Raw genomic sequence first — 19,413 nt, forward strand, 5'->3', positions numbered from 1 at the left:
TATTTTGCTCAAAGATTTTTTTTTTTTTTCCAAACAGGGTCTCACTGTGTCAGCCAGGCTAGAGTGCAGTGGCACCATCACTGCATCCTCGACCTCCCCCGGCTCAGCTGATCCTCCCACTTTTGCCTCCCAAGTAGCTAGGACTACAGCCATGCATCTCCATACCCGGCTAATTTTAGTATTTTTTGTAGAGAGGGGGTTTCACCATGTTGCCCAGGTGGGTCCCGAACTCCTGGGCTCAAGCAATCCACACACCCGGGCCTGCCAAAGTGCTGGGGTTACAGGCATTAGCCATCACGCCCTGCCTCAAAGATATTAACAAAAATAACAATAATAATAAAATGAGGCATTAGGAATAGTGCCTTCATTTGACAAGGCACAGGCCACTCAAATCACTGATTAAATTATAAGATTCCTTGGCAACATCAGAATGAGAAAAGCCAAGTAGCTATAATTTGTGTGAGCCAAAACACTGGACACAAAGATAAAAATGACATCAGGCTTTGCTTTCTCTACAAAGAAACACCAACAATTGTTGGTAACAATCTCTGTTACCAACCCAGCATGGTTTATAACAACAACAACGACTAACTCAAATAGTTCCTACTAATAATATTAGTAGTAATAATAATAGCTAACACATATATGCCATTTACTCCGTGCCAGGAACTGTCCTAAGCATTTTACGTAGTTAACTCGTTTAATCTGCCCAACAACTCTAGAAAGCAGGTACTTTATGCGACCCATTCTGAAGATGAAGAAAGTATGGAAATGACAGTTAATGAACAAAGGTCACACAGGCGACTGGCGGAAGACCTAAGGTTTGAACCTAAACAGTCTGGCTCCAAATGGCATGCTTTTAACCACTACGCTGTACAGCCAAGACTATCAAATTCACCTTGGCTGGTCTGAGAATTATAAAGACCACTACCTACTCAGACCTTTTAATCCCACCCTGACAGAAATACAAATACATGAAAACTTCTTTCCACATTTACTCACCAAAGATCTTTGCGCAGTGATCCATTCACTGTGACCACCATCTCTCTTCTTAGCACATGCGTGCAGAAAATCTAGTTCCAAAATGGAGTCAATCCAACCAAATTAGGAAATTCCTATTCTACTCCCCTCTGCACCTCAAGAATTTCATACAACTGAATGTTGATCTCAACAGAAATCTTGTGGCTCATCACTCATCTACAAGAACTGCTAACTAAGGAATTGCTTCTAATATCATGAACTCCAAACCCACTTCAATAATGGGGGCATGGACACACGCATTAAAATCTCACCTACAATTCAAAAACTCACAATCCCATCTTAGACAATAGTTCTAATCCCACGTAACAAGGTTGATAATGAATTGCCAACTATTTCTAGTTTCTCTACTCTTACTTGCCCCAAAAGCTCAAAGCACTTCATGAGAGAAGTGACTTACAAATAATAATGACAGAAGCACCCAAGTAAAAGGGGAAAAGTAAGGACCCAGATACACAGCCCTTCCTTCATCAGAGATGTGTATTTCACCCTGGCTTTCCACCCTATTGTTCTTATTGTATGATTCCCTCTTTTCTTGCACTTGGATTTCTTCCTTGGTGCCATTCGTTTCACTGTGTGTGTGTGTTGTTGTTTTTTATTTTTGAGACAGGTCTTGCTTTGTCACCCAGGCTGGAATGCAGTGGCACAATCACAGCTCACCATAACCTCGGCCTCCCAGACTCAAGTGATCCTCCCACCCCACGAGTAACTGGGACCACAAGCACACACCACCACCACATGACTAAATTTTTTTTTATAGACAGAGTCTCACTATGTTGCCCAGGCTAGTCTTGAACTTCCTCGGCCTCTTTAAAATGTTGGGATTACAGGCATGAGCCACTGTGCCCAGCTGTGTGTATTTTTTAATATGATAAAGCTTGTTTAATATGTTACAAAGTCTTATTTATTTTATTTATTTAGTTTTTTAAGAGACAGGGTCTCACTCTGTTGTCCAGGCTGGACTGCAGTGGCATGATCATAGCTCACTATAACTACAACCTCCTGGGCTCAAGCAATCCTCCCACCTCAGCTTCCCAAGTAGCTAGGACTACAGGCATGTGCCATCATGCCCAGCTAAATTTTTTTCATTTTTTTCTTGGTAGAAATGGGGTCTCACTACATTAACCAGGCTAGTCTCAAACTCCTGGCCTCAAGTAATCCTCCCACCTTAGCCTTCCAAAGACTGGGATTACAGGCGTGGGCCACAGCACCCAGCCACAAAGTTTTCTTTAAATGGCCAATTCGGCTGAGGAAAAAAATACTCATCGTGAAAATCAAGTAGGTCAATATGTTGGCTAAAATTTCCAATTGCCTTTAGCAGCCAGCAGATATGAAAGTAAAAGGAACAATCCCAATCCTTGAGTTTATTTTTAGGCTCCCCAAGAAAGAATAATAACATACCTGGTTTAATTTCTCAAGTACTCCTATATTTGATAACTCACTGAGCTGCTTTTTGTGGCCTCTGTGACTCTTTAATCCAATGCATTCCACAAAGCAAAGATCACTTTAAAGCACTCTCCCCACCCCATCCTCTTTCTCACAAAAGGTGATGTTTCATTTTCCCAACTTCCTTTTGGTAAATTATTACATGGACCTGCTTTCCCTGGGAAAAGTCCAGAAGCATATCTTCTAATTTAAGGAATGTACCAAACATTTTGAGTCCTACAGACCCTTCTGATTGGTCATGAATGTAACAATCAGCCTTTCTCCTGTGACACTTTTAATTCAAAAACAAACCCAAGGCAACCTTCAAAGCTGAAAGTGCTGAAATTCCAGAATCAGAAAAGAAAAAAAAACTTGCTCATTGATCAAGGTGACACAGTGCATGACTTCAGTATTTAATAGAGTGCTAACTACTGTATACTTAAATCAACTTCCATAAATTCCCAATGATGATACAAACCATTTACCTGGAGGCCCCAAAACATAAAATCTATGACAGACTTTGATATTAATTTTTATTGAACATTAACATTACACCCTATAGACATGAACATATTACCTACGATTTATGCAGCAGTAGACTTTTGTAACCTCACGAAATTCATGTTGTTAAGTCTTCATTCAACCCCCATCCCCCTACGTGCACAAACAAATACACAAACCTGCTCTGATAAAATCAACAATTACACTTGCTTCCCTCTCTGAGTTGCCAAGTCATCAGATCCACCCACCCGGATCCCTTTATGACTGTAAAGTTTATGGATTACTTATTTCTCACGGGTTTTGCTTCCTGACATACTGTAACCACTTTCCTTTTATAAAGCTCTGATCAATTCTCAGAAGCATATTGGCAGAGGACAGTGAGCAACAGTAGCAAAGATGTTTTTAGGATTTTATTACTTGGAGTCTTGTTTGCAAAGAACTTTACACTCACATCAGAGCCTTCTTACACTTTAGAAATGGAAGCATTCGTAATCCTATTTAACACACACCAAAAATAAGGTTAAGTCACTTGCAAAAGACCACCCAGTAGATACAAGGTAGAGTTCAGGTGCAAGGTAGCAAGTGTTCCATCTACCCTTTTAATTTCCTCAGCCACCAAAATTCAAGTTTTTGTTTTTTAATTAAGGCTGACATCACTCGTGTGAGCAGAATCAGCTCATCACATGCGGCACCACTAGCAGCTAGACTCTAGCTGCTAGAACATCTCCTTCCCAGTTTGTTGTTGTTATCGTTGTTGTTGTTGTTGGGGCAGAATAGACGGTTTGAGAGCAGAAGAGGCGAGAACAGAACCTATGAGCCCAGTGATAGGTGTGATAATAAAGACGAGTTTTGAGTTTCTGATAAGCAGTTTATTTTTAAGGACCCAAAATAATCTACCTTGACATTCCTCCCAAGTAATACATTCATGTTTTTCTTGATAACAATATAACTGTTATCCAAATAAACCTTAGATTTACTTAGGAAATAGTTTTAATAGAAAGTTTAAGAAGTCAAATATAAGACTAGTATTACCATATAAAAATCCCACGTAGAATCTACTTTTTCTCATCAGGCAAGGTCCCAAATAAAAAACCACTTTCAGTAATGAGCCTTGTAAAGGTACAACCTAAATGTTTTTTATATGCTTATCAAAAAGTTGCAAGGTAAAAAAATAAAATTTTTGTCTCATGAAAATTCAAAACCACATACAAAATTTGTATTTTTCTAATTAAGACTTTCCCTACATTGGACATCCAGAAAGTACTACAGAACATATGAGAATCTGATCTTTTATTATGAGTAATAGGTGTTTCTTCTTCACCACCAGAGGTCAGAATCCAGAATTAAGTCCTTATTTTTCTAAAGTATTAAAGTTTTATACTTTAACCTCATGAATCTTGGAGCAACTTTAAAAGCCACTTAAAACAAAACAAAAAAGCCCTCATTTCTCGACACTAAATGTAACTGTAGAAAACAGTTTCACAAAGGAAGAAGAGAGGGCAGACATTCTGGTTATTTCTTCCCCCAAAATACTCTAGAAGAGCTTATATGCATATCCACAAGGAGGTAATAGTTGTTGAGTCGGCCTCACATTTATTCGCAGATTCAACAAAGGACAGCTGACAAGCATGTGCCAGGCATGGTGTTAGGTGCCCAGGACATGAGAGAAAAAAAATCCCTCCACTCATGGAGAAATCTGACCTCAATTCCATCTGACCTCAATTCATCTGTAACACTCATTCAACAAACACACTGAACACCTCCTAGAGCCAGCATGTTTGGAATGAACGATTTGTCTATATAAGATCCTGCTCATTATCTTGCCTTTCTACTGAAATAGAGTTTATCCCATGCCTATGACAGAAAATTCATCTCTAAATATTATTCTACTATTCACTGGACTTCCCCCAAAAGGCTGGTCAAATTACTTGACCTTTTAGACATTCTTATCTTACAGATCTAGAAGACAGGAAACAACAGGAGCTTGAATATGTAACTAAGTTTTTATAACTACATTAGAAACTTTCCTTGCCTGTACAAGACAAAAAATAAACAGCTTTTTTTTTTTTAATTTACAATTCACAAAAATAGACAATCACAACCCTCCTGGCAAAAGAAAATGTTCCCAGAATACTAAATACTAATTTGAGGAAAACTTCACATACTAAAATCACAAATCTCTGAGTCAGGTATTTCTCTTTAGAGAAAAGCAAATCAATTGTAATGGTCCAGCAGCTTTTCATACCCTTGATAATGACTAGTTTCTTCCACATAAGAATTTTCCTTTTCCTCTCTGTTCAGTTCCAAATACTGTTTGTTCAAACTGAATCAATTTCATATTTAGGATTTTTAACTGGATCACACTTTCTGCCTAACATTTTTCATATAACCCCTCATTAAAGAGACATTAACAATTTCAATCAAACCAATTCCACTTCCTTACCCAAAAACTTAATTTCCTGTACAGTACTGCTTTCATTTCACCTTTAAAAAAATCTCAGTTCACAATTTTTTAAAGACCTCTGTTCTCTATTACTTAAGAAAATTCATAGTCTGGCAGAATATGCACCAATACAGGTTGTTACAAGTTTGGCTACTCAGTTTCTGATGGATCTTCTGGTACATAAAACCAAATTACATATTCAAGCTCCTGTCCCTACTTAAAATTCATTTTTAAAATTACTGAACACCAAAAATGGATGACATGAACAAAATATACTCACAGAATGTTACAACAGTCCATATAAGATGCAATAAGAAAGAAAATCAATGAAACAATATTATAAATTGCACAAAACTCTCAATAAAACAAAGTTCAGCAAAACAAAGCTGATTATATATACTTTAAACTTTTAACTGACTTCACTTACCTCTCAATCTGACAAGGATACCTACTTTCCCTCTGTAAAATACATGGGTGACACCCTCCAAAGAGCAAATGTATATAGCTATTAAGTACCTCTCCCATAATATACTTAGTACAAGGCATCTTGTTTGTTCCGAAACCTGGCTTTTTGCTTTTGTTCTTGACCATTTGCTCTTGTACTTAAGTAATTTATTATTTTGTTAACCAATAAAATGAGGGTGAAAAATGACTACTTTTGAAAAACTAAATTAACTACTTTGCAGATACTCAAACGGAAGTGGCTAAATTAATAACTGCCTAATGAACGGTGGAAAGAGAATTTAAGTCTGTAAGAAACAATAATTTTAATCTTAATTTTAATTATTCCTTTCTAATTAATTAACTACAACTAGACCAAGTAGTCAGCTGGTGTCGAATTAAGAAGTGTTTCGTGAAGCTAAACAAATATGATAAAGCATATGGTGGTGGCCACTCCCAATCATCCCCTTCCCCAGGGTGGCCAGACGAGTCTTCAGATAGCACTCCTCCTGAAGGTCATCTAACTGACCCCACAAATCATCTTAACCTAATCTTACACTGGATTCTCTGGTTTATTTTCATGCCGGAAATAGCATTTTGGTTGAAAACACAGTTTCCTCTGTAAGTATTAGCCTCCAACCTAAATTTTTAGAGCTGAAACTGAGTTCTATTTTTTTTTAATAGAGACAGCGTCTCACCATGTTGCCCAGGGTGGTCTTGAACTCCTGGGTTCAAACAGTTCTCCCACCCAAAGTCCTAGGATTACAGGCGTGAGCCACCAGACCCAGGCTGCAACTGAGTTCTTGAACCCATAAAGCTGAGAAAACATAAAACTTAAAATCTCACTACTCTACTACATTCTACACTGATGGTCTTTAAACCGGGCTATGTATAACATTTAGGGCACATGAAAACTCTAAAGGAAAACAACTATCTCTCCATCTTCAACTTCCTTGTAAAATAATATGCCTGAGAATTTCCCTTCTCTTTCCTAACTGCCTCTCACTTCCTAAAGTGGGCATACCTCTCAGCCACCACCCTCCCCTCATCTCACTAGGCACACTGCCCACGATTATAAAACCTCCCAGGCAACAAGGAGGAGACCCACTAGAAGCAAACTGGTCTTGATGCAAATAAATAAATAAGAAACATTTCTAGACGTCTAAAAGGGAACAAAATGCTTTTGCAAGTTGGATTGCTTCAAACAAAATTACAGGAGCATCCATTCTTTAAGCCATCTGCCAACAAATCATTAAAAATAAGTTCTGATGAGATTACTGTGTGAGTTTTGCCATATAACTTCAGAAAAACTCCAAACAATTGACTGGCACTGCTATAATACTCCCTTTTTCATTTTTGACAAGTTTTTTCAGTGCCTGCATCTTACACAGAAAAGAAAAAGGGAAAATAAAAATGATGCCAAATCTTTTCTCATCTAGTAATAAACGAATTTATAAAGAATAAAACACCTGTATATATGCAATAGATGAATGTATAAACAGAAATATTTTTATTTTTTATCAATCATTTATCAGAATTTGTAATATAATCATGTTATTTTGATCAACTCCATTCCACAAATGGAAATATTTATACAATTACTTCTGGATTAAATAATCCTTGAGGCATAGGATATTTTTAATTTTCAGTATTGATATATTTTTATTACATAAGTATGACATGATAATCCATAAAAGACTCTAAAACATGAACATGTATTATATTAGAATAAAAAGTGGGGGAGAAGGCCAGGCGCAGTGGCTCAAACCTGTAATCTCGGCACTTTGAGAGGCCGAGGTGGGCGGATCACAAGGTAAGGAGTTCGAGACCAGCCTGGCCAACAAGGTGAAACCCCATCTCTACTAAAAACATAAAAATTAGCCAGCCGTGGTGGCGGGCACCTGTAATCCCAGCTACTCAGGAGGCTGAGCCAGAAAAATCCCTTGAACCCAAGAGTAGGAGGTTGCAGTGATCCGAGATCGCACCACTGCACTCCAGCCTGGGCGAAAGAGCAAAACTCCATCTCAAAATAAATAAATAAATAAATAAAAGTTGGGGGAGAAATAAGATAACAAAAGAGTTCAAGTAAACAGGGAGAGATAAGTTTCCAATTAAAGAGCTTGTTCACTGATTTTTTTAATGAATGGTGGCTGGTATGACAATGTTAGATTTTTCATCAGCTCTACTTAAGTATATTATGTAAAAGGCCTATTTTTAAAAGCCAATTTTTACAATATGCCCCAAATTACGTATTTTGAAACAACCTAAGTTATAATGACAACGTATGCAATCAGCACAAGATTTGAAGACCATGGAGCTATACCAGTAGCAGTCGGTCTGCACTCAATGACTACGATTCAGAAGAAGAACGCAACCTACTGTTCCAGTCTTTAACTAACAACAGCTCCTCGGTTTGCACCTGCAGTTGGAGTCTCAGGAACATCATTTCCTCCACAAGCTTTGCACTTTCCCACCTCCTGGCCCCTGTTCATACCACCAAGAAAACAGACCCAGTCCTCCTCAAATTCCACCATTCTTCCTTAAGCAGGGGCTTTTGGTCAGGTGCTGTGAACTGCTAATTTGGTAGGAGAGCAGAATAACATAGTGGGGTAGTGGGGTTGAGGGCATGGAATGTGGTAGCAGGTTACCTGGTTTCAAAATCTGCCTCTACAATTTACTAGTTTAAGCCAATTAATCTCTCTGTGGTCCAATTTCCTCATCTTTAAAATGGGAATTATAATCAACATTACCTGATGGGGGTGTTGTAAACTGAATGAATTAATATAGCTAAAACCTTTAAAGCCCTGCTTGACAGTTTTTGCCACATCATCGTTATTGCCCCCACCAAAATTTCTACTACAGTGACTATCACCACACCTGGTCCAGATTTTTACTGTGTAGACACTAGCCCACATCTTTATAAATTGCTACTTCCTCACCTATTTCAGGGCACTGCTTACTTGCAAGAAACAAACAAGAATATCTATGAACCCCATTAGTCCCTTCCTAGAGAAAGGCACTAGTGAGAATATAATACGGTCCATAAAAACTCTGTGTAAATCAACTGGGGTTAAGGAAGAGAAACACTAGCAAAGGTATTTTAATTAGCGAGTAATTCTACCCTGTTTCAGAAACAGAAAAATCTAGTGGCAAAAAGTACCGGGAGAGGGCAAGTCCTGGGAAGAAACTGCTGGGAGAAGGTCACACTTTCTATTCCCAGGGCTTCATTCATTCCTTATCTTGAATCAAGAGACAATACATGGAAAATAATTAGAGGGGGATAACCTATATTGATAACCAAAGAAAACCAAAAAATAACTGGATAGACGATTGATACAGACATCACTGCCTATTCCTCTCCTCTCCAGTTGTTCAGGCCTACAGTTGGCTGTAGTTCACTTTTTACAGTTGGTTGAAAACAGAAAAAGAGGCTGCAAGAAGGAAGCCAAGGACAGTACTAAACAGCAGCTCTGGAGAACATGGGCTGGCAGGTGTATGAACACAGAACCATTGATTTCAGCGACCACTACAACAACCATCCCCAAAATCATATCTTCAGGAAAGAATGTTTCTTTTTAACAAATGATTTGCCCTAATAAACGCAGCCCCATATTTGGCCTTCAGAAGCAATTATTTTTTGTTTTTGTTTTTGTTTTGGTAGAGACAGGGTTTCACCATGTTGGCCAGGCTGATCTCAAGTGCCTAACCTCAAGTGATCTGCCTGCCTGCCTGCCTCAGCCTCCCAAAGTGCTGTGATTACAGACGTGAGCCACTGCACCCAACCAGGAAGCATCTTTCCAACCCGAACTGCAATATAACTTTTTCATTGCAATAAACCTAAACCTCACTTGTGCCTAAATGCAAGCCAGCATCACATCCTCAGCTGCCAAGTTGAAGAATAGGCTCTTATCAATTCAACAGCACCCAAAAGCATTAAACTCAGCTGAGATATTTGTGTGAAATACAGATTCCTGGACCCCTAGAGAGGCTGACTCAGTCTGGGGTAGAGATCAAGAATCTGCATTTTTAAACAAACCCCCAGGGAATTCTTAAGTACACTGTAGTTTTATGACCACTGCCTGAAGGACATCCCTGGAATATCACTTAGCAAATGCAATTCATACTTACTTTGCCCACTATGAGAAACTGTTGGCATCATTTGCATCAGCAAGCTCTGTTTCCACAAGACTGGGACCATGACTACAAACTGTTTCGGATTTGAAACTTGCCAGCATTACAAACAGAAAGGAAGGGGAGAGCATCTTTCTCATAGCTTAGTCACAGTCCTGGTGAAGGGTCTGAATCACCCTGACGGCTGCTTGTCTTTTTCACTAAAAGGCTGAATGATGAGGGTAGACTGTAGCACAATGGTTGTTTTATCCTGTTCCAGGTCCACCTTTATGGCCCAGGAACCCTGTAGCAGGAAAATGGGGCTTCATGGGATATGGTCTCTCGGGAATCATTCACTGAGCAGTTTTGCTAATTTGTTTTTACTAAAAATAATTTTATATAAAAGTAAAGTTATACTTTATAATACGATTCCATTTTAAAATACTGATATAAGTATTTTGGAATATTTGTGTTCCTAAAGAGAGCAAAGGATACTCCTTTGCAAAACATATGTATGAGTACTTTTAAAAGCTGAGACACTTTTAACTTTTGCTATTAAAAGGAAACATAAAATAAACAAAGCTTTTGTTAACTGGTTAAAGTAAGTGGTGTTCAAGTTGCCATTCCAGTTTCCAAGCTGTTTTTGTGAAAGCAGAGGGGTGGGGGCATTTTACACCAGTGCAAAGGGTAAGAATAGCACTCCGGAAGAATAAAACTTCTCTTTATTTTGGCACTCCACATTAACTTATCTGATAAGTTGCTGAGTTTATTATATGGGGATATTTATTTCAAAGCCAATGCCTTTTGCAGGGGTAGGCAGAGGCATGGTGACCAATTTTACTATGGCAGAGCCTTTGGCCAAATCACTTCACCCCTTTGAAATGCATCACATGGCATCCTTTAATTTGAGTGCCTCCTCCACCTGAGTCATGTAGGATAAATTACTCTGTGCTGTCAAATGTTGTGTACCTGTTATCACCACTGCCTGAGAGAGCATAAAATACATATTTTATGGAATAGTCACTCCTGAATGTTCAATATGCACAACATAGTTTTGGTAAAAAGAAAGACTGACTTTCTGACAAATACAAGGATTTTGTAGCAGCAAGAGTACTAACACAGAAGCAAGTGACTATGTTCTTAACCCTACGTAAACACAAACCAGACTAGTCATTTTACTTTGGGCAACACCAGATACATTCTCTGTGCCACTGGTTTCTTCAGATATAAAATAAGGGAGACTTGGATAACATGATTCCTAAAAGCTCACACTATAAACCTGTACTTTTCAAGCAGTCTCAGGTGTTGTTTTCTGTACCAACAAAAATGAAACATATTGTGAAGTTGACATAGAAATTCATTACTGTCTGCTTATTCCTGCTGAGGGTTCTGGAATTATAAGCCTGGGAAATAGCAAAATAATAGCTGCCATGCATAAGTTAAAGTGAAGAAAAAAAAATCAGAAATAACATCTGGATACCCAGACACCAGATCCCTTCAATACATGCAAACAGAAGGTATGTAGTCATTTTTAAAAGAAGGAGGCAAAAAGCCACAACTACTATTTTGAAAGATGATGTATACGAAAATTAGCAAAAGAAAACATATTATATCTTACATACTAAATAAGCATGATTTATACCAACTATACTGTCATTCATTCAACACATATTTACTGAGCACCCATTATGAGCCATGAGTTGGGGAAAAGAGCAAAAACAAGACAAACAGTTCCTGCTCTTTGGAGCTAGATAAACAGCAAGGGAGTAAGCCAAAATTAAAGAATTTTTACAAACGTGATGTTGATGCACAAAAGAAGTAGATATAGGGTGTGCCCGAAAACCTAATAGTAGAAGAAGCTGGGTGTGAAGGTCCTCAGGGAATAACATTTCATCTAAGATTTTAAGGATTGTGGGCGGGGAGCATTGTGGGCTAACAGGAGACAGCATTCTATGCAGAGAGGATAGCCTTACACTCTTATTAAAAAATTTTTTATTCTATTTTTATTATTTTTCTTTCATTGATACATAATATTTTACATATTTATGGGGTACATGTGAGTATTTTTTACACATACAGATTGTGTAACAATCAAGTCAGGGAATTTGGGGTGTCATCACCTTGCATGCTTATCATTTCTACGTATTGGTAACATTTCAAATCCTCTCTTCTAGCTACCTCGAAATATTTGAAATATTAGACACTATCAAATGTTATATCTATAAATTGAGACAGTTTAGATAATTTAGGTATACTGTTAAATGTTATAACTGAAAAGCAAAGGGACCAGGGAACATGTATCTACTTTATTTTGTGTGTGTGTGTGCTGCCTCCTGTACTTTTCTCCAGGTTACACATGCATGCACGCACACACACGCGTGTGTGCACAAGCACATGCATTTTATTTCTCTAGTTAACATGTATCTACTTTAGATCAATGGAGCACTGTATTAAAAATTATATACACTGAGACCAGCAGGACAGAGCACTATATATATAGACAAAAAATGAGGGAAATCATTGGCACACTTACATTTTTTTCTCATTTTAAAAATAGCAATCAAGATACTCAAACTCTTCATTCTGAAGACTATCCCCAAAATAATTAATCCCAAAATAAATTCGTGTAATTAAAACTTTTCTGATTAAGAAAAAACTCCAATCTTTTCCAGAGACCACCTGGGCAGCCTCAGAACTATTATCCTTCTATGCTAATGATTGCTGGTTTTAATCATCGTCCTTATAGCAAAAGACAATCATTGCATTCCAGTTGACAATCTGTGTCCAAGTTTCCTTTCCAAAGTTGTCTTTAAAGTCCAAGGCAAATAAAAACCACCACACATGGTTGCTTACAGAACTGACAAGAGATCCTTGACTCCAACAGACCTGGTTGGCATCAATGATTCAAGCACATTATGAAAATCTCCACACGACTCAAAGTTTTTTAAGTACAGAACTGAAGTTTACATCCACAAATCTGTTTGATCTCTGCAGTTGCAAAACCATATGGCACACAGAGAAAAACAAATTATCTCTGCTTATGAAATAAGAACCCTCTGTAGGCTTTGGGACAGACCAACAGCTATGATTGTCCTACTCGCTGCGTATCACTATAATTAACTTTCTCTGATCCTTTTGAAGAATGTAGAGTTTTGGGGTTTTGGTTTGTTTGGGTTTGAGGGGTGGGGGGGCAGAGATTAGGGAACAGAAGTAAGGACATCACCAAGGGGAGATGGAGAGAATCCTAAGCCTAACCTCAGACACAATAATTTAAATATTATCTTTCTATAAATATTTTATGTCATATTTTCATGCTTTATTTAATCCCATTTATACTGAGGAGATATATAAAGCCATGCATGTCAACATTTACCATGTAATGCAAGTTATGCTTGTGAAAAGGGCTATTATACTAAGTGACTCAGTAGCTTCCATAGTAATACTAGTTTCACAATCACTATAAGTTTCCAGCCATTGGCTACACAGAACCAAAAGCAAAAATATACCATGACAGTAATTAAAAATGCGGTTGAATTCTGCTATCGCTGTTTCCACTCCCACCACTACCTCTACCACCACCATCATTCATGCAATCCTCACCAAAAAAAAAAGTTTAGAAATAATTTACACTTCTAGCTTTGCACCTCAAAAGTAACATGTAAAGGAATTTAAAATTTGATCTATGACACTAACAGATTTTAATAAACTACTTCATAAATATAAACAACCCACCAATGGACCCTTAGCACCAGCAAAGATAATTTCAGAGACAATTTGGTTAAGCAAATTCAAAAGTGTAATAAAAGAAACTGCAAATGCAAAAAAAGAGTGACAAGAAAAAAAGGAGTAAATATGTTTAATGGCAGAAGAATCATTTCCCAGATACATGTGCAATTTTATACATTAAGTGTTTTTAGGGGATGACCAGGTAGAAATAATTTATCATTTTGATTTCCTAAGAGAAGACACTATTCTTAAGAATAAGAGGCTCAGTAGCCCTGCCTATCTTTCTGCCTGGTAAGACCAGAAAAATGAAAGTGTTTCCCTAATACTTTGTGTAGTATAACAGGTGATACAGTAGTTAAGACTGGCTTCAAGTCTTAACTAATCAGAGTTGTGAAATCTCAAAAACACTAGGTCCCAGAGCATTCTTTGCATTTTGTCTTTATTTTACTTATACTGTACCCAATGAAACACCTTCTAGGAACACCTACCGTCCCCCATTCCCATCCAGTCACAGCTCACAGCCCTGCTGGCTTGCTAGCTTAGATCTCATAAACCTGGAGCTAAGAGCTAAGAAGCACAGTAACCTATCAGAGCTGTCAGACATGCTGGGGAAAGTTTCCAAGAAGCACACTAGGCAGAATTCAAAGGAAAAAATTTATCCCTGAAGCTCTGATCAACTCCAGACATAAATATCTTTAAAACATATGGATTACAAGCACAGTCCTGGGAAAATCAGTAACATGTCGTGGAGGAACAACATTAATGGGTTTACCTGGAATCTGATCTGCTAATATCTAAAACACTTTTTTTTTTAAAGATCACTTGCTATAACAGGTGAACTAAGAATACCTTTTATTCACTATCTAATCTTACCGTCCTAAAGCCAGGTCCCTGCTGGGTAGGGAGGGGTGTCATATATTTGACAAATAATAATTGAAACAGCCTTTTCCTTTTCTTTTTGTTGACAGTCTATTCAGACAAACCAGGCTAAATACATTTCCAGATTCCCTTATGTGCACAAGGAGAGAACAGCTCCATAAAGGTCCACAGAGACATCTGGAACAAGCAGCATCTCTACCTGCTAAGCATAAATACTGCTTTTCTGCCTTCCTGGATGGTGCTTTTAATTTCTCTTACAATCCTAAAGCCTCTCAGCTGGGTTAGAAAGCCCATTGTTTTTTTCCCTTTATCCTTCAGTGAAGGCCTTGTCTATACCTCTTGGCCACAGACAGACAGAACAAAGAGTAGTCAGACCTACAGATTTCTGTACTTGACCTTCTTTATGTGGGAAAGACGTTGGCGTCCAACACTGCTATAATAAGAAAAAGGAAAGTGAGTTGCAGGAATGACAAACAGAATCTGTAAAAGAAGAAAAAGAATCAGCCACAAGTTTTCATTATCCAACTTAGGATATAACAAAAGATGACTTTTAAAAATAAATAAATAAGCAAGTGAATCTAGTCAGGATAGAAATCCATTTGGCAAGTAAAATCCATCTCCAGCACAGCATTTTTAGAGCAGCATGCTGGAGTTTTCATGTTTTGAAAAATGAGACACTGACTAATACACTTAGCCAAATATTCTAATCTGTCATCATTCTAAATATACGGGCCTATCTTTCAGCAAACAAATTAGCAGGTAATATATCATCCCTGAGTGCATACCCTTCCCTGGATGCTCTATAAATACAGAGTGATCAAGACTGGCAGTTACTCAGTGTAAAATGTAAAACACTACTAACTTCACTTAAGCCACACTGCAGAAGTCCATCATATCAATCAGAAGCAGGGTGTCAGAAAAGTTTCATGCACTTGAAATTCTTCCAGGGGAGGGAAAATGAGGAGACTTAGAAAAGAGATGGCTCTTACACTCCCTTTATTTGATCATGGAGAAAAGAAGAATGAATCTCTGGAAATAAATGACTCCTGTATGTTTTTAAGTGTGTCTAGGATCAGATGAGCAAGCCTCGAATTTGGCAAAATTGCAAACTAAAAGAAAAAATAGCCTTTGCGTTCTCCAGCCTCACCTACTAAAAGTAATTCAAAGTACATAAGCTTCCCAATACAGTAAAAGCTGCAAAGCTAGCTATAGTCTCAGGTCCTCAGAAACAACTCATGCATTTTCCAAGATTCTGATTTAAACAACAACCAACTATTTTCTGAGGGCAAAAGGGGAGTAAAGTTCTTAAATCATTTAATTCTGCCAATTAGTTCCGCAACTATGGCATTAAAGAACTATGGATATTTATCCACTGGAAGTGGATCAAAAAGTGGGCTCTCTTAATGCCTATTAAATAGTGCTGATTTTCAAGCATCACTGACCAAGGTCAAATCTGAACCAATGTGAAAACCTCCACTTCCCCATCACTAATCCCTTGAGCCATCCATTCTTCCACAAGGCAAATGTTTTGTAGTCAGGGGAGAAATACCACACGGTATGGGTAGCACTTAATATGACTGGTTTCTACATTAAACTCAGCTTACACGTCTTCCATTTATCTGTAAAAAGTTAGAGAATTAAAACACACTGGAATCTTTCAAATATGATATCACTATAGTACTGGCATATACAGAGAATCAAGGAATTAACTGCTTTATTCCACATATATTAGGTAAAATCTCTGGTTTACTGACTGATATGTTTTTTTTTTTTCTCAGTATTTAGTTTTCTCCCACCAATTGGAGGAATAAAAGGATGCCCCACTGAGTATTTGTTTACAATTGACAAGATTATCTTCTGTAAGTGTGTTACTGATCAAACTGTACAATGCACAAAGCTTCGGTTCCGCTAGGTTATCAGCTACACTTAGAACAGTTTGGGCTAAGGAGTTGGGAGGGATGAGGAAAACACAGTGAGCTGTAATGCAACTGTGCTCTTGGTGGGGTGCGCACACTGCGAATAACTTACCAACTCACTGCCCAAAAAGGAAAACTTCTAGAGTAGCCCAGTGGACCCAAGGACCTAATTGTTCACTTTCTTTATAGAACCACTGCTATAAGTACTGTCCTCCCCACTCTCATAATCTAATACACACTGCTAGGTAATTCAACTTAATATTCCCATTGAAACAAAGTTAGTCACAGTCCAAGTCTACAGTTATCTATACCATGAGTTTTTAAAACATGCCCAGGTTCACTGAAAACCTAACCACGAATTACGGTACCTTTTCAAAAATATTAAATATATTGAAACTAATATATTCCAAATCCCCAAAGAAAATATGATTGCATTTTACCTCTCCACCCCCAAGGAAAGAAAAGCTGTGGTGCCCTGAGACCTAGACTAGATAAGCTAGTCACTACCAAAACCCTGAACATAAAAAGCTACTCTGTCCATCGTGGGCACATTCTAGTCCCTCTTCAGAAAAAGTCCACTCTCTATATCCTCACTTCCTCCTTCCTCCTACTCAAGGAAAAAATATATATATATTTATATATATATATATTTATATATATATATATTTATATATATATATTTATATATATATATATTTATTTATATATTTATTTATATATATATTTTTATATATATTTATTTATATTTATTTATTTATATATATATTTATATATATATTTGTGTATATATATATATAAATATATATATAAAGTGTACTTTCATCACATGGAATTAACCACTTTCCCACTGTATTTTTAAACACTTTTTGGGCTGAGCATAGTGGCTCATGCCTGTAATCCCAGCACTTTGGGAGGCTGAGGCAGGTGGATCACTTGAGGTCAGGAGTTTGAGACCACCCTGGCCAACATGGTGAAACCCAGTTTCTACCAAGTCTACAGAGTGAGACTCCATCTCAAAAAAAAGAAGAGGGGATGTGAAGGACCCTTCTGCCCCCTAACAAAATAAACACTTATTGTACCTATCACAATGCATGTTCTTTTTAATTGCATGAACAATACACGCTTAGGACAAGTTCAAACAATACGTAGGCATATTCAGTTAAAACAGAGTCCTCTCCTCTCCCTCCAATCCCTGCTAACCATTTGTTATGTATCCTTCCAGCCTGATTTATATACTTAAACACGTATACATGCTTATCAGTTTACAGATCTAGCATATCTAACAGACTGTGCACTCTATAAGAGCAAGAAATGCCCTATTCACCTGTGCATCCAGTACCTGGCACCCTGCTGATACAAATAGTTGCTCAATAAATATTTACTCAAGAAATAATCAAACGGTTAAAGCCACAGAGAAGCAGGTCTTCTGGGGACTTCAGAAACAAGGAGAAACACATGTCTGTGTCCTTACATATGCTTGTGCCCATGCTCATCTGAGATTAAGAAGGAGGAAAAAGGGTAGAGGGCATCTGAACCTAGGGCTCCAGGTGGTACACCAAATGATCACTGGTTAGCCAGCACAAGGATACGGAGGAATAGCAGCATATCCATCTTTAAAAAATAATAATAATACTCAAAGCAACTGACCAAAGAGGGAGATCCATTAGGATTCTGCTATGTCCCTGATCTCAAGGGCAGTCTTATTAACTGTCTTAAAGGCACCGTCCAGCAACCGCATATAGGATTCTCAGGGTATCAACCTCAGAATAGATCATTTATGGATTAGAAAGTGGGTCTGAATTGTGTTTGAATATTTATAACTCATTTTAGAAAAAATGCAGAAACTTCAGGATGCAACCAAAAGCACAAGAGGAAATGTTATCACTCAAAGTCAAAAAAAAAAAAAAAAAGTAGGGCTGAAAAAATTAAAATTAGGCTGGGTCCCTTTTCTCCAAGAATCTAAATTAAACGTGTTTCTATAACCAAAAGAAGAGCTGAAAGTAGTACTATATTCAGTAAAAAAAAAAAAAAAAAAAAAAAACACAAACGATTTAACCAATTAATATGCAACTCAATATAGAAGTATAAATTCTTTAACTTTTTTAAAAGGTTATTAGCCTTGCTGTTGCAATCAAGCCACCAACTGATAGCCACCCCAAGCTATAGTGAGCCTAAACATAAAATGGCACAGGAAACTCTTCTATGTCAAACTCTGTTTTAGTAAATCTTCAGATTTGAACATTGAAATTTCATTTAATTTGGCTTATCATCACAGTTCTCCTTTTCCTTGCCAGGGTTCCAAGAAAGCGTAACTGCAAGATTTGGCACAAGAAACTTTCCACAACTTGGTCAACAGCCCTGACTATATTATCATTACCCAGATTTATAGAATGGTCCCAGTGACCAAGACACAGGGTACATGTCCAACAATAATGTATATTTTGAAATGAACAAATTGATTTATACATTAACCAAACAGGTTTTTGGCTCAGAGTCAAGAAGGGCTACATACACTAACACTTGGCTTCTAACCCTGAAACTAACAGGTCTTCATTCCACTGGGGAGCAAGGGGTTTAAAAAAGAGAAAGGCCCATGTTTCAAGAACTCTTCTCTCTTACCCTCCACCCCACTCACCAAAATACTTACCTCCATCCCCGCCACCTACAGCTGCCTTCAGGAACAATTAAGATGTTGACTTGGAGTCCATGTTCTGTGGCTATTCAATAATTCCCAATTAATAAACCTTAGTTAAGAAGAATATGGTGACAGAAATAAGTACTCATAAATAAAGTAAAAGAGGGGTGTGTGTATGTGTGTTAGAAACTGTGATACGTAACATTTTAAAAGCATCCGCCACTGAGATATTTATAGATTAAAAGATTTGATGTCTAGGACTGACTTCAAAATAAATTCAGTCGGAGAGAGGGAGGAAA

The 19,413-nt window shown here is 37.6% G+C and overlaps 1 protein-coding gene across 2 annotated transcripts in view, besides 1 other annotated feature; it reads right to left on the bottom strand.

Moving 5' to 3' along the window:
* Nucleotides 1–19,413, bottom strand: part of MLLT3 (MLLT3 super elongation complex subunit) — a 280,831-nt gene that overhangs the window by 207,140 nt on the left and 54,278 nt on the right. The window lies entirely within an intron of this gene.
* Nucleotides 3,079–3,138: an enhancer, noted in NCBI's record as "active region_28227". NCBI's record gives its function as "activates an Ori minimal core promoter by ATAC-STARR-seq in GM12878 lymphoblastoid cells {active_cell/tissue: GM12878}" and the evidence as "EXISTENCE:reporter gene assay evidence [ECO:0000049][PMID:35858748]".

This window comes from Homo sapiens, chromosome 9 (genome assembly GCF_000001405.40).
Source record: "Homo sapiens chromosome 9, GRCh38.p14 Primary Assembly".
Classification (NCBI taxonomy): domain Eukaryota; kingdom Metazoa; phylum Chordata; class Mammalia; order Primates; family Hominidae; genus Homo; species Homo sapiens.